The following is a 13,411-nucleotide window of genomic DNA, read 5'->3' as shown; positions in this document are numbered from 1 at the left end:
AGATAAAAAGGGGGAGGAGGGAAGGGGAGGGGTCGTCTGCTGGCCTGGAGTTTACACGCAGTGTCGTCACCAAAGGTTTGGGAAAGAGCCCACGGAACGTAATTACCCTTTCAATGGGAGCAGCAACAGCTCTACAGCCCCAAACGAAGTTAACTGAACGGCCAGAAAATAATTTTAACGTTGTCATAATTTATTACTTTCTAAAAGCCACTTCTGGAAAGGTAAATATACTTATTGTGTATCCAAGTGTGCGCATTTAAAGTGACCTTTCACCCCCTCTACAAAACCACCTGCATCATTAATCAATACTTACGTAATATTTTAAAATCTCTTAAAACGACACATCTTTCTTTAAACACACATACAAACCCTCCCCTCCCCCACTTTCGGGCTCTTTAGCGAGCATCCAGCAGTGCTGAGGGAGGGGTTGTCGCCCTAGGGGAGGGCACCAGGGGCCGGGGAGGGGGGTCGACGACCAGGAGGGATCAAATGCCGACACACAGCCGTGGTTTTCTGGACTGGGTGAAATCTGGCTGGGGGAGGGGCGGGAGCGGAGGGCACTTCCCATTTCACCCTGGGCATATTATGATGGTGAAATTAAATATATGTCGGGGAATCGTCGCTGCTTACCTCTCCTTTGGCACCCAGGGAAAGCAGCTGCAAAACTGGCTTTTTAATGTATGTTTTAAGATGTGGTTTAGGAAGGAACCCCCTGGAATCTGAAACAAGTGCAATAACATAGCAGACCTACTTGTAACTAAGTGCTTAATTTCCTATGTTTTTTTTTAAAAAGGAAAATCAATAAAATGTTGCCAGTTATTTATTGGAAATAGCCACAGATAGCAGCCCTGATAGGGTGCCATCGTCAGAGCGCACACAATTGTGTAATGAATTGTAATTCAGAAGACTGTTAAATGTGAACCACAGAACCTTTCAGAGGTAATAAAGTCATTACTTTTTACACTACAGCCAACCCCGAAAAGCTTTATACACACCATTATATATAAATCATACATATATATATATTTCCACAACACTCACTCGCTCATTTATATATCTTCTCTATAGATGGACTTTTATGGACGGGTGGGAACAATATTCAAATCTGAAAAGCTTGGTTCTGAAAGAATCTGGCTCACTATTGTTACCTGAAGGGGCTTTTCTTTTATTTATTTATTTTTCAAAGGCCTCCCAGTTGCACTTTCTTCTTCCCTCTCTTCACCTTCCCTCCAACCGTCCCCCACGTCGTCCTCCCCCGCCACCCCCCAAGAAGACATTCTTTTGGTGACTCCAAGGCTGGTTTAACAAGACAAAAAGCAGACTGTGGTGGAATAGAGATGCTGACCTGCTCTGAAGAACTCAGTGAAAAGGGGAAATGGTGTCACACACAAGCTACAGAGCTTAACTTCTAGTGAATCCTCCCGCTTCTTAAACAGAATTTGAGGTCTCCCTCCCACAAACTGGAGGGAAACAACAACAAACAACAAACCACATTGACACAATCCCAGTACAGCCCACATCTCTCTCAATGTTGAGCATCAAAACCTCCTTTTCTTCCTTAGAGGGGTCCGAAGCTCCGCCGAGCTAGGCAAGCCAGTCATTTTCTAACACAGTAGACTTGAAACTTTACTAAGACGAAACAGGAATAAACAGCCGCTTGCCGGCAGGGCTGCGGGATGGGTGAGCGCGTGCAAGCCCGGGGCCCTCGCTTAAAACAATAAAGCCCCCCCACCGGGTGGGTGAGTTTACGGAAGCGACACCCTTTAGACTGAAGAGGGGGATGAGAAGACGGGGGTTGTGGAACCGCTCCGAGGAGAGGGAAGGAGGGCTCCTCGCTCTGCAGACACACTCACACATATCCACCTGCAGCTCAGGGTCTCGCGGGCCATGGCGACCCGTCTCCACCCTGCACCCTCCGCACCTCCCTTGGACCTGAGTCCATTCTCCTCTCCCCCCAACTCCTTCCAGATTTGGAATCGGACTGCGATCTCCCCGGCGGCGGCGGCGGCGGCTGCAGAGTGGTGCTGGCAGGCAGGGAGGCTGGGAGGCGGGAGGCGCCAGGGGACTTTACAGGCACGTTTCTGAATAAACTTTCCAATCGCAGGGGGTGCTGTTGCTGTACATTTTACGTAAAACTGAAAGTATCCCACGCCAGAGTGAAGCCCGCTTTTTGACAGCGGCAGCACGCGCGTGTGTGTGCGTGTGTGCATTAAAGAGACAGGGTTTTATTTCCAACAGGTCTTCCCTAATTTCCAGGGAACGTCTGCAGAAAGGCGAGAGGGGGCTGCTGGCTCCTGGGTGTGCGCCTTGGCCGGCGGCGCCTGGGGAGCGCGGCGGTGACCCGAGGCGGTCATCTCACCACCGTGGTCTCCCCGCTGCTCCTGCGAGCCTGTCGCTCTCTCTCCATTCCCATTTTCTCTTTCCCTGGGTAACAGCACAGGAACAGTTGTGCTCTGCCCGTAAGAAACATTTTCTTCCCATCCCTCTGTGCTTTTGCAGTTGCTCTGGAGTGGGAGGGGGTGTGTCCCTCCCAGGGACCCGGCTCGGGGACCTCCCGCGGCGCCGTGAGCACATTCCCAGGGACTGGGACTCCCGGGACTGCCCGCGCTTTGTCCTCGGCCTCTCAGAGAGGTGGACGCCTCGGTGCCTCTCTTGCCCAGGCCCCCGGCGCTCCCCTCCGGGGGCCAGACTCTGGCTCCTCGTTCTTTATTCCTCGGGCTCTCTTTCTGCGACCCTTAGGAGCCGGGGACTCGGCGCTTTCAGTTGCATTCAGACCCAGTCGCTTGGCGGGGCGCTCAGATTCCCGGTCCCTGGCTCGGCCTTGGGGGCGCCCTCGGGCCCCGGCCTGCGCCGCCTGCCTCTCCCCGGTCCCCTCTTTCCAGGCCGCGCGGGCTCCTGGAGACTTGGGCGCTGCCCTTCCGGACCCGCAGCCCTCCAAACTTAGGCTGGATTCCGCGTTGCCGTGCGCTCCCTCCCACCTCCCCTCGCCCGCTGCGGAGCTGTAACTTGGAGGCTCAGCTCTCAACTTCGGGTGATTTTTCTTTGCTGTCCTCTCCTCGGGCAAAGTTTCCCGAGCGCAGCCGCGGGCTCGGGGCTTTTACTTCGGCCCCTGGCGTCCACACGCGGGGAGCGAGCGCGGCGGCGGCGGGGAGGGGAAGTGGGTGTGCGTACGGAGGAGGGTGTCCGGGAGCAACTCTACCTGGCTTCCCTCCGCCCGCGCTTCCCCAGCCCGGGGCTGCAGCCTCCCGGTGCACTCTCGCTCTATTTTTTTCTTTTTTGAATAATCTTTCATTTTAGAGTCCGCGTGTGTGGGGGGGAGCAGGGCGCACGTCTTGCTCCCCCCCACCCTTTCCTCCCACCCCTGCCACCCCTTTCTTCTCTCCCGGCCACGCCACCGCCGCGGCGCTCGCTGCGGCCACTGGTGAGCCCGCGGCCCCAGCGCCCCCTCCCCTCGGCCCGCCCCTCCCCCGGGGGCCGCGTCTGGCGTCCGCGGAGCCCCCCGCCCCGCACCTCCCCCTCCCCGCACTGGCCATTGGCTTGTCCTGGTCTCTTTTTCATGTCCAGCCCCTGATGTGTGTCCATTGGTGTGAGCTTCCCCTTCCCTCCTCCCCTTCTCTCCTGCTCGCCCTGCCCATGTTTTGTGTGTCTCTGTCCATCCAGACTCCTGACGTTCAAGTTCGCAGGGACGTCACGTCCGCACTTGAACTTGCAGCTCAGGGGGGCTTTTGCCATTTTTTTCATCTCTCTCTCTCTCTCTCCCTCTATCTCTCTTCTCTCTCTCTCCCTCTTTTTTTTTTTTTTTTTTTTTTTTTTTTTGCTTAAAAAAAAGCCATGACGGCTCTCCCACAATTCATCTTCCCTGCGCCATCTTTGTATTATTTCTAATTTATTTTGGATGTCAAAAGGCACTGATGAAGATATTTTCTCTGGAGTCTCCTTCTTTCTAACCCGGCTCTCCCGATGTGAACCGAGCCGTCGTCCGCCCGCCGCCGCCGCCGCCGCCGCCGCCGCCCGCCCCGCAGCCCACCATGTCTCGCCGCAAGCAAGGCAAACCCCAGCACTTAAGCAAACGGGAATTCTCGCGTAAGTAACCCAATAATAGTAATAATAATTATTAATAATCACGAGAGCGCGCAGGACTAGAAGCAAAAGCGAGGGGGAGAGAGGGGTGTGTGCATGCATTTTTAAATTTTTCACGAGAAAAACCTCCGAGAGTCGAGGTAAAAGAGATAAAGGGGGAAAAAACCCTCATCCCATCTGGAACCATTGCCGTGTATGCACTTTTGAGACAGCACGCACCTTTTAATTTTATTTAATTTTACAAAAATTTGACTCCTCCTCTTTCCTCCTTTCCGCCGCTTTATTTCTCTTTTCGAAAAGGAATGCAATGATTCCACTCCCCCCCCGCCCCGCCAGTTTTGCAAAATAATGAACAATGCTAAGGTTGCGAACAACTCACATGCAAACCTGGGGGTGGGAGCTGGTGGGGAAAGGGAGGTTGCTTCCCACTCACCGTAAGAAAATGGGGGGGTAGGGAGGGAGTGAGTACAAGTCTAAAAAACGATTCCCGGGGAGAAAAGAGGTGAGACTGGCTTTTGGACACCAGCGCGCTCACGGTCAAGTGTGCAGCGGGAGGAAAGTAGTCATCCCCACAATAGTGAGAAAGTGGCACTGTGGAAAGGGGCCCCCGGCGCTCCTGAGTCCGCGGAGTCGGGAGAGGGGCCGCGGCGACGGGGAGAGCCGTGGGACCGGGAAGGACGGGAGACGCGGCCGGCACTGCCGCCTTTTGTTCCGGCCAGAGGTGGGTGTTTGTCCCGCTGCCTTTTGTGCCGGCTCCTCGCGCTTGCCCTCCCGCGCCGCCGCCGCCGCCGCCGCCGAAGGGCAGGAGCTAGGGCCGGGGGAGGAGGCGGCCGGGGGCACGCGGGAGAGGGAGGGAGGGAGCCCGGACTGCTGCCTCCTGGGTTGCCGCTGCCCTCCCCTCCCGACCGAACCTCAGAGGCAGCAAGGAGAAGACTGGCACATAAATAAATAAATACATAAAAATAAAATAAATAAAACAAGGCAAGAGAATGTACAATTTCTTGCCCCCAAACCGAAGCCAAACGCTCTGCCAACCCTTTTCTGTGACGGCCTTCTCTTTGACTCCCCCACCAGCCCCCCTGCAAAAATCTCACAATCTCTCATCTAGAAAAAAATTTACAATCACCCTCTTCCCCCAAACCCCTTCAGTTGCAAACTTAGGGCGCCGACGGCACGGAGAGGGAGAGAGGAACTCCCTCCTCTTACTATTTTTTGGAAGATTTTCAAAAAAAGTGGAAGTGGATTTTGATTGGGAAAAATCTCGTGTCTGAATGTTTACAAGCACCGCGTGTGCGGGAGCCTCCTGCCAACAAACAGACAGAGGACCGAGCGCGGCGCGGCAGCCCCGGAGCAGGCGGCGGCGGCGGCCTGGCCTCGCCCGGGCCTTGCCCGACCTCGCCGCGCCCCAGCCCAGCCCCGGATCGCCCACCCGGCGCCCGGCGCCCACCCGCCAGGCACGGCGGCAGGCCACGCAGTGTCTCCGCGCCAGCCTGGCCCGTGGTCCTGGTCCGCCCCCAGCACAATGCCGAGACCTCTTCTCGACCTCCCAGACTGCGAAATCGGCTGGGTGAAACTCGGCTTTGCAAAGCATTTTTATTTTGCAGGGCAACTGTAAAAGCGCGTTCTGCGCCTCCCCTCCCCTCCGCCCTGGGTACTTTCTCAGACGTCTCTTGTCCACAGCTCGGGACCGCGAGGAGGTCACCACGTGCTTTCCCTGCCCACCCCCCACCCCGCCCGGTCTGGTCACCAGTCCCCCTGCGCCCCGAGCACGACTAGGCCAGGTGGCGGGGTTGCCGGGGAAGGGCAGGGGAGAAGTGTGTTTGAGTGTGCATTTTAAGGGCGCTGGATCCTGGGACCCCGAGCACTTCACCCTTTGGGTCTTGCCCTCTTCCCCAGGCCTGGCTTGGTCTGAGGTTCTTGTGAGTCTGTATAAGAGCTGGTGGTGGTGGCTGTCTCCCGCTGACTGCGCCTGGAAAGGCGGGCGGTGGGCACTTAGGAAAGTTTGGCAGCAAGGGAAAGAAAGGCGTGAGGGCCCACATTCCCCCCCTACTCAATTTATGATTCTTACTTTAAATTTTTGATGCAGTTTTAAAGGACCACCTATACTTGGTTCTGTGTTTTTTTAAAGGGGTGGTGGTGGGGGGTGCGCACAGGGAATTTAATTTTTCACTGGGCCCTGGAACTTGTCACACACTTCGGAAGCTCCCCCACCCCGGCACGTTGCGCGGCCCTCCCTCTCCCCACCCCCTCGCATCCCTCCCTCGCCGCTCTCCCCCGCCCCCAACTCCCCCGGCCGCGCCGGATGCGGATCAGACGCGGCGCGCGGCGGTGTGAAGTTACAGCCCGGCCAGGTACCGGCGGGAAGGAAGGGCAGTGTTCGCAGGACTCGGGAAAGTCAGGCCCTTCTTCGGAAGGATGCAGTGGGGGCTCAAAGGACAGACCGGGGCGCGCAGTCCAGGCTGCTCCCTCGTACCCCTCTCCCTCCTGGGTCCATCTTGGGACACTCTAGGCTGGGAGGGTTAGTACCCCCTCCTCCTGTCCCGGGGTTAAAGGGCCAGTTTGGGAGGGGGTGAGGGGGCCACTTCTTTCTGTCCTCATTTTCTGGGTGCTCAGAGGGGGCAGGAGCCATCCCGGTCCTCAGTACCACCCCCCCGCCCCCCGCCTCTGCTATGTGGGCTGAATGAGCCATTCGGTCGCTAGGAGGCAGAACAAGATCAAGAAAGCTCAGCGAACTTGAACCTGTACCAGAGCCTCCCCCACCTCCTGCCCGGCGATTCTCGTCCGGGGAGGAACGAGCTTTGCGAGGGTGGGGGTGGGGGGAAAGAACGGTTAGGCAGAATTCCCTTTCTCTCCCCCATCACCCCGTATGTCTTTGTTCTTCATTTTGACTTTAAAAATGCTTCTGGCCGGGGCCGCGGAGAAGCGACCGGGCGCGCGGCCGACACCCCCGTGCGCGAGCTGAGACCAGCGCGCGCCGGGCTCGGAGCACGGTGCAGTTTTCGCTTTCTTTCGGGGCCGGCATTTTTGGTAGGGAGGAACCGGGAGTGCGCGCTCTAGGGCTTCGGGGCATGGCCGAAGAGGGGGATATGGCAAGTTTGCACTTGGTCTCCAGCCTCACTTCTTCCACCCCCTCACCCCCATGCAAAGCACAGACCTCGGTGGCCTCGGCTGGCTTGCTGGGCGGCTCTGCAGCCCGACACCCCCCCTCTCGCCTCGGAGCTCGGAATCACAACAATAGTAATAGTTATCATCATAATGATGCGGGCAGGCAGCGTCATTAATAATGAATAACCGCAGCCGCCGCCGCGCACACCCAGTGCCCAGAATTGCGGGGGAAATGCATTTGCAGAGATCCCCCAAAGTAAAAAGTGTAAGCTTGTGGACACAGAATGAATCTCAGGACCCGCGCTTGAGGTGTGTGCGGAGATACTGAGACTGCACCAGGTTAACCAGCCGGGTTTTCCAAACCTCACTTCCTTTTTCACCAACTGGCAGGCCCAGGGAACCGTCACCCCGCGGCCGAGCTGGCCGAGCTGGACGGGCATGGAGGCAGCAGTCAGGGCCCCTGGCTGCCCTCCGTCTCCGGGCCCCCGGGCCCCAAGGCCCCGCGGCCGCTGCTGCACGTGTTCGCAGCAAGCGCGGCGGGAGCCTGCAGCCAGCACGCTGCTCGCTTTGTGCCTCAGAGTCCCCGCGCCCAACTTCACTTTCTGCACGGTCCACCCTTGCCGGGGCCCCTGCCCCGGGCCTGTAGCCCCCGGCTTTGCTTTTGTTTCTTTGCTTTTCCTCTCTGAATTTCAGCCTCCGTTTGCTTCTTTACCCTGTTAAGACAATCAAGGAGAAGGACTTGGAAAGCAAACTTGAAGACACATCTCCCTTTCCCCCTCCCCCTCCGCTCCCCGGCAGCTCTCGTTTTGCTCGCTCCTTACCAACATTTCCTATAAGGATTATTTTTTTCCCTTAAATTTATTCTTTTGCAACTACACAGAGAGGAAAGAGATCTCAGTCTGTCACTGAGACATTGAGACGTTCCAGGCTGTCTTGCTGTTTGAACGTAGAAGCATTTTATTTTCTATTTCTTCCTCCCCTCGTAGAGAGAATTCGCGGCTAATTATTATGATTATTTGCCCACTCCCTTCCACTTCAATCGAGGACTCCCTGCTTTGTAGCCGGAGTTTAGGCCGGAGCTTAGAAATGTTGGTATTGTTGGGGCGAAGGAGGATGGAGTTGAATTGAGGGAGGGGGTAAATGGCTGAGGGTTAGGAAGGTTTTTAGGGAAAGGGGAATTTGCATTAAAATGCAGAGAAATTATCAGATGCCCAGAAAGGAAATGTTGATTGCCACTGAGAAAAGATGTCAATGCAAATCAGTAGACTACACCATGAGAATTGTATTTTCATATTTTCTTTGTGTCCCACTTTGTCTGATTTTTAATAATATACCAGCAATGATAAAAACACGTTTTGGTATTTCTCTGAACACCACTAGCCAAATGTTTTGCAAGGAGACCGATGTTAAACGTATTTCATACATTAGAATATAATTCTTGTTAATTAGCAATAATTTACGTTAAGAGCATAGAAAATGTTGAGGTTACAGGTTTTATATCTGTACATTTGATCATCTTGTTATTTTCAAGAACTTTGCCTCCTATAAAATTAATTAGGTGAAATGTGGAGGTGTAATCAGCAACCTCTGAATTACCACTTCATTTCCCGGTTTTGATTGTAAATCAGTTCAGTCACTACATTTAGAAGACTTTAACCAAGTCTGTTTTGAACCACATTACCTTTAACTATTTGATACCTAGGAGAATATTTCCTTTTGCACCTAAATAATATTCCCACTTTTAGAAATGTGTCAGACCTTGGGAACAAAAAAAAAAAAAAAAGAATCTTAACGGTGGAAATAAAAAATTTTTTTTTTTGCAAAGGTTCTATGTACTAGTAAGTTTGATAAAATATTTTCCTAAGTCTTCCTTCAGTCTGTAAACCTCAGAACTTGTAGCTAATGCTAAACAAAAAAGCCACATTTATCAATGTGTACTTAAAATCCTTAATTCAGACAACAGGAATATTTTGAGAATGAGTTCCCTATTCCTCACTTGGTCAAAATGGAAGCAAATGTAAGAGAAGAATGACATTAAGGCACAATGCAGAGGCACTTCTGTTTGTCTTCTTTTATTTGAAAAGTATGCATATGTATTCTGTATTTATCTTTTGGCCAGTATGTTGGGCAAAGAAACATAAGTGCTTACTTTACTGTCTTTATTAGTAGGAATATAACCTTCATATTCCTGTGGTGACCTTATGTTAAATTAGGAGGAGTACCAGAGGCTAGAAATTATGAGATGTCCTACTTGAGCACAGGTGCAGCTAGGCAGGGCTCTCTCAATATTATTTCACCTAGCACATCTGGGAGTTACTCCAGATCTTCCCCCTCAATATTCAGCCTGGGTAGGGTTGAAATAAATTTAACCTGAGTTCACTGGATTTTTGCACTTTATCAAAATCTGTTCCAATATTCTACACTCAAATTAAAATCTATTTTTTGATTCTCTGTGGCTTTAAGTTCATTAAATGTAAAATTGGCAGCTTGCTAAAGAAGGTCAGACTGATTAACTGTTTAAGACTTGTACATTTTCTGCTTCAGTTTTATTAACTGGCAGCATCCTGGATGTTTTGTATTTTGTGATTTTTTTTTTTTTTTTGATAGAGCAAGCATAAGATTTCACAAGCAGAGACTTACCAACTCTCTTTTCCCCTTTGGAAGCTTAAAAAATGATAGAAGCTGGTAAAGTAGATGCTGGAGTATTTTAGTACAAAGTTAAAAAAAAAAGCAAACAGGAAAGAAAGACATGTCTACCTTGTTATACCATCCGCTGGTGATTATGTGTGCAGAAATAGTCTCATAATGAAGCATTTTGGAGCTCATTCAGAAAATTAGTCCACTTTGACAACATTAGGCGAAGTATTTCAAGTCTAAAGAAAGGACTTCTCAGCCTTGCTCTGAAATGTGGTGTTTGCTTGACCATTCTGATTTTTATATCATAGATGCCACCAAGTGCAAACATGTTTAGAATATTATAGGCATTCCATTTCTCAGAATAAAAAAAAAATGACTAATTGGCTTATTTTCTTAAGTACTCAAAAGTATCCCATTTAGCTAATGTGTCTGAGAAATACTGCCCGTGCATTTGGTATTTCTTTGATTTTGTGGCACTGCTGAGAGTGAGAGCAGAAAGGTTTTTGGCAGTGTGAATTATGCTGCGACATGATTATTATTTAGATCCGTTTCATAGGTGCATGCAGTCGTTTTCTTATTACAGCAGTGTAAATGTGGCACATTTTTCATGTGACATAGTAGCTTTCTAATTTATGAAGCCATGTCTGTTTACTTAGGAGTATATACATTCACACACAAAGGGTGTGTGTGTTTATTCACCTCTCCTTTCATTCTTTGGCACAATGGACAACTTGGTGTATAGGAAAAAAGAAACAAATTTGGTTTCTATCCACTTTTTTTTTTAACCAGTTTTTCTTGTAGTTATTATTTAAGCTTTCTTTATGTTCCCTGTGTTAACTATTTAAGTAGCATTCTTTCTAAACTTACAAACCAGACACATTTGTTGCTGTGGGTGTGTGCATGGGTATATGTGTGTGTGTGTGTTCTCTGGAGTTATGCAAGGAAGACTGTTTTCTTTACATATGTGATGATTTGCCTCATTGACAAATTTGCTCTCTGGTTGATAACCTTCACATCCTTGTACTTTTTGTATGCTCACATTTTCTGGGTATTATATAGAGAAGCCTAGAAACACTTTACATGATGTGGTGGGATGGCATGGGGTTGAGATGTGCTTCTCCCCTTTCTGTCCTCTCTGGCACTCTAATAATTGTGCTTTTGTTTCTCCAACCACAGCCGAGCCTCTTGAAGCCATTCTTACAGATGATGAACCAGACCACGGCCCGTTGGGAGCTCCAGAAGGGGATCATGACCTCCTCACCTGTGGGCAGTGCCAGATGAACTTCCCATTGGGGGACATTCTTATTTTTATCGAGCACAAACGGAAACAATGCAATGGCAGCCTCTGCTTAGAAAAAGCTGTGGATAAGCCACCTTCCCCTTCACCAATCGAGATGAAAAAAGCATCCAATCCCGTGGAGGTTGGCATCCAGGTCACGCCAGAGGATGACGATTGTTTATCAACGTCATCTAGAGGAATTTGCCCCAAACAGGAACACATAGCAGGTAAATGAGAAGCAAGGAGAAAAGCTGTTTGCATGTTTTCTTTTCATTTTCAGAGGTGCTGTAGCCAAGCAGTAAGGAGTTGTGAAGTGCTTTCTCTATTACTCTATGTGACTGTCCATGACAGCCCTGTAATGTTAAAATAATCATTTCTGTTGCTTACGTCCAGAACACAGAAAAATAAATATTTTCCACCTCACTGAATCAGATGTAGGCAGGATAGGTACACACATCAGACACCTTCTCTCTGGATCTGTCGATTTTGGATTTCTTTTCTTCCCCATCCCCACCTTCTCATTTTGAAGTATTGAGCTTTACTACACCTAGTCCAGCTTCCATTGTCCATTTCCAGCCTTGGTGACGTGTCAGAGGCAAAGTGGCCATATAGGCATTTGCAGTTCAGCCAATGACTTGTTTGACTCAGAACATCTGGCCAGGCCTCCTTAGGGGTTCAGCTCGTTCTCAAGGCTTCCCTGAAGTAGAGTGGGCTGGCAGGGTAGTTGGAGGTGGTGGAAAGAGTTAACTGAGCTTCAGGGCTAGCCTTGGATCCATATTGGCTGTCAGCCCGGATGGGGCTGTAATTAAACACAGCCCCGTGGTGGGATGACACCATGACCTTGACTTTAAGATGCCATTTTCGACTGGCCAGGCCAGAGTAGAGAGGGCAGTTGCTGAAGCGCACAGACATGCTTACTCGAAAAGTTTAAGGGCATGTTGGAAATTTCAAAAGGTTGGTTTGACAGGAACGGCTGCTCCCTGCAGCCTGCCTCCTCAGCTAAATGATAAATGCTTCTCTGTGCTCTCTCTTGTCTCTGATGTGGTTTTGACAGATGTATCTTGATTTTGTTTGTGGTTTACACAGCCACATGTCACCCTTACAAATGTCCAGTCCAGACTCCACTGTTTCTGCTATAACACAATGTAAAAATTTTCTTGGAAAAATACACACACGTATTCAACAGCCCTCCCTCCTTTGGTTAATTTTAGCAGGGAGGCAGCTAGGTGTGTGGGTTTCTCGGCAGCTCAAGGGAAAAGGAATTAAAGGCTAGCAGTGGGACTTAAATTCCCTTCTCTAAGTGATAAACAGTAACACTATATAGTGACCCTCAAAACATTTTTTGCTTGAGCATGTTAGACAAAAGTCAATGCAGATTCTGTGATGACAGACATGCCATGCCTGTTGGTGGATCGCTTTCTTCCATCTACCTACCACCCAGCTCCCGAAAGGCAAGAGGTTTGTTCAGTTTTAGGAAAGGTAGTGCATATCATGAATTGATTCACTGGAACTTGTCTCTCCGACCTAGTTTGACCACAAAGTTGAACCATAATAGGTCAGTGGTCTAGAGGGGATTAAATGTCATATTATTTCTCCTCTCCCCCTCTAGAATTTGATCATTAAAACCAAACATGGCATTTTCTTTCTTTTTTTAGTGCTTTCTGTGATAGCACTCAGATACTTTCCCTTTAGTGAAATGGGAAATCTGCTGCTAGGGAAGCTGCATTTGTGGAGTGTATTTCTTGAATCCACCACATTTACCTTATGTGACATGTAGGTGAAGATTTTATCTCCCCTACCCCCCAGCAGGATGTGGGAATGACCATTTCCATGTGTTGTCTTGTGACTGGAAGGAAAATGAACAGAAGTGTAAGGCATGATTAATGAAGCAAGAGCAGGCGGAAGGGGATTTGTCGTCTTCGGAGATCCAAAGCCTTGCTAAATCACCAAATATGGAGTAACACTTGCGTGATGTAACATCGTATTTACATATCGAGCTGCTCGTTTAAAAGACAAAACACAGTGTCTGTCAAGCAAGAATTAAAACCACACTTCTTACTGAGGTCCCAAATAGGTTATTCAGTCTTAGATTAACCAGCTCAAAAATTCTGTGCCTCTGTATTTAGAGGAGGAATCTAAATGCTGGGGGGAAGGCCTTACATATAGTTAAGACTTTTACTGCTATAGTTGTGAATCTATGTAGGGAAATAAGAGATATTTGCTTGAACTCCCTGGTTGTCTAAAGGTTCTGTTATTATTTTTTTAAAGAACAAGTATAATAGCAGAGCCTAGAGAAGCCAAAACCAAAAG

The 13,411-nt window shown here is 50.0% G+C and overlaps 1 protein-coding gene across 35 annotated transcripts in view, besides 11 other annotated features; it reads left to right on the top strand.

Moving 5' to 3' along the window:
- Positions 1,153–1,761: an enhancer, noted in NCBI's record as "NANOG-H3K4me1 hESC enhancer chr2:60782673-60783281 (GRCh37/hg19 assembly coordinates)". NCBI's record gives its function as "activates a minimal SCP1, AML or CMV promoter by ChIP-STARR-seq in primed H9 embryonic stem cells {active_cell/tissue: H9 hESC(primed)}" and the evidence as "EXISTENCE:reporter gene assay evidence [ECO:0000049][PMID:30033119]".
- Positions 2,006–2,135: a silencer, noted in NCBI's record as "silent region_11517". NCBI's record gives its function as "represses an Ori minimal core promoter by ATAC-STARR-seq in GM12878 lymphoblastoid cells {active_cell/tissue: GM12878}" and the evidence as "EXISTENCE:reporter gene assay evidence [ECO:0000049][PMID:35858748]".
- Positions 2,336–2,385: an enhancer, noted in NCBI's record as "active region_15814". NCBI's record gives its function as "activates an Ori minimal core promoter by ATAC-STARR-seq in GM12878 lymphoblastoid cells {active_cell/tissue: GM12878}" and the evidence as "EXISTENCE:reporter gene assay evidence [ECO:0000049][PMID:35858748]".
- Positions 3,076–3,165: a silencer, noted in NCBI's record as "silent region_11516". NCBI's record gives its function as "represses an Ori minimal core promoter by ATAC-STARR-seq in GM12878 lymphoblastoid cells {active_cell/tissue: GM12878}" and the evidence as "EXISTENCE:reporter gene assay evidence [ECO:0000049][PMID:35858748]".
- Positions 3,375–13,411, top strand: part of BCL11A (BCL11 transcription factor A) — a 103,405-nt gene continuing 93,368 nt past the window's right edge. For 14 of the 35 annotated variants that reach the window (NM_138559.2, NM_018014.4, NM_001405733.1 and 11 more), the window contains exons 1-2: positions 3,645–4,083; positions 10,999–11,328. In NM_138559.2, coding sequence (NP_612569.1) covers positions 4,029–4,083; positions 10,999–11,328 — 385 coding nt within the window. In that variant the 5' untranslated portion in view covers positions 3,645–4,028. Of the gene's footprint in view, positions 3,422–3,644; positions 4,084–4,584; positions 4,802–6,391; positions 6,432–7,072; positions 7,495–10,998; positions 11,329–13,411 lie in introns of those variants that run through there. The other 21 variants (NM_001405736.1, NM_001405724.1, NM_001405718.1 and 18 more) reach the window with 5 other exon arrangements.
- Positions 4,575–4,934: a silencer, noted in NCBI's record as "silent region_11515". NCBI's record gives its function as "represses an Ori minimal core promoter by ATAC-STARR-seq in GM12878 lymphoblastoid cells {active_cell/tissue: GM12878}" and the evidence as "EXISTENCE:reporter gene assay evidence [ECO:0000049][PMID:35858748]".
- Positions 5,455–5,514: a silencer, noted in NCBI's record as "silent region_11514". NCBI's record gives its function as "represses an Ori minimal core promoter by ATAC-STARR-seq in GM12878 lymphoblastoid cells {active_cell/tissue: GM12878}" and the evidence as "EXISTENCE:reporter gene assay evidence [ECO:0000049][PMID:35858748]".
- Positions 5,575–5,884: a silencer, noted in NCBI's record as "silent region_11513". NCBI's record gives its function as "represses an Ori minimal core promoter by ATAC-STARR-seq in GM12878 lymphoblastoid cells {active_cell/tissue: GM12878}" and the evidence as "EXISTENCE:reporter gene assay evidence [ECO:0000049][PMID:35858748]".
- Positions 6,212–6,984: an enhancer, noted in NCBI's record as "H3K27ac hESC enhancer chr2:60777450-60778222 (GRCh37/hg19 assembly coordinates)". NCBI's record gives its function as "activates a minimal SCP1, AML or CMV promoter by ChIP-STARR-seq in primed H9 embryonic stem cells {active_cell/tissue: H9 hESC(primed)}" and the evidence as "EXISTENCE:reporter gene assay evidence [ECO:0000049][PMID:30033119]".
- Positions 6,985–7,757: an enhancer, noted in NCBI's record as "H3K27ac hESC enhancer chr2:60776677-60777449 (GRCh37/hg19 assembly coordinates)". NCBI's record gives its function as "activates a minimal SCP1, AML or CMV promoter by ChIP-STARR-seq in primed H9 embryonic stem cells {active_cell/tissue: H9 hESC(primed)}" and the evidence as "EXISTENCE:reporter gene assay evidence [ECO:0000049][PMID:30033119]".
- Positions 7,315–7,364: an enhancer, noted in NCBI's record as "active region_15813". NCBI's record gives its function as "activates an Ori minimal core promoter by ATAC-STARR-seq in GM12878 lymphoblastoid cells {active_cell/tissue: GM12878}" and the evidence as "EXISTENCE:reporter gene assay evidence [ECO:0000049][PMID:35858748]".
- Positions 7,575–7,754: a silencer, noted in NCBI's record as "silent region_11512". NCBI's record gives its function as "represses an Ori minimal core promoter by ATAC-STARR-seq in GM12878 lymphoblastoid cells {active_cell/tissue: GM12878}" and the evidence as "EXISTENCE:reporter gene assay evidence [ECO:0000049][PMID:35858748]".

Source organism: Homo sapiens, chromosome 2 (genome assembly GCF_000001405.40).
Source record: "Homo sapiens chromosome 2, GRCh38.p14 Primary Assembly".
Classification (NCBI taxonomy): Eukaryota; Metazoa; Chordata; class Mammalia; order Primates; family Hominidae; genus Homo; species Homo sapiens.
This window is presented reverse-complemented; position numbering and strand designations above follow the sequence as displayed.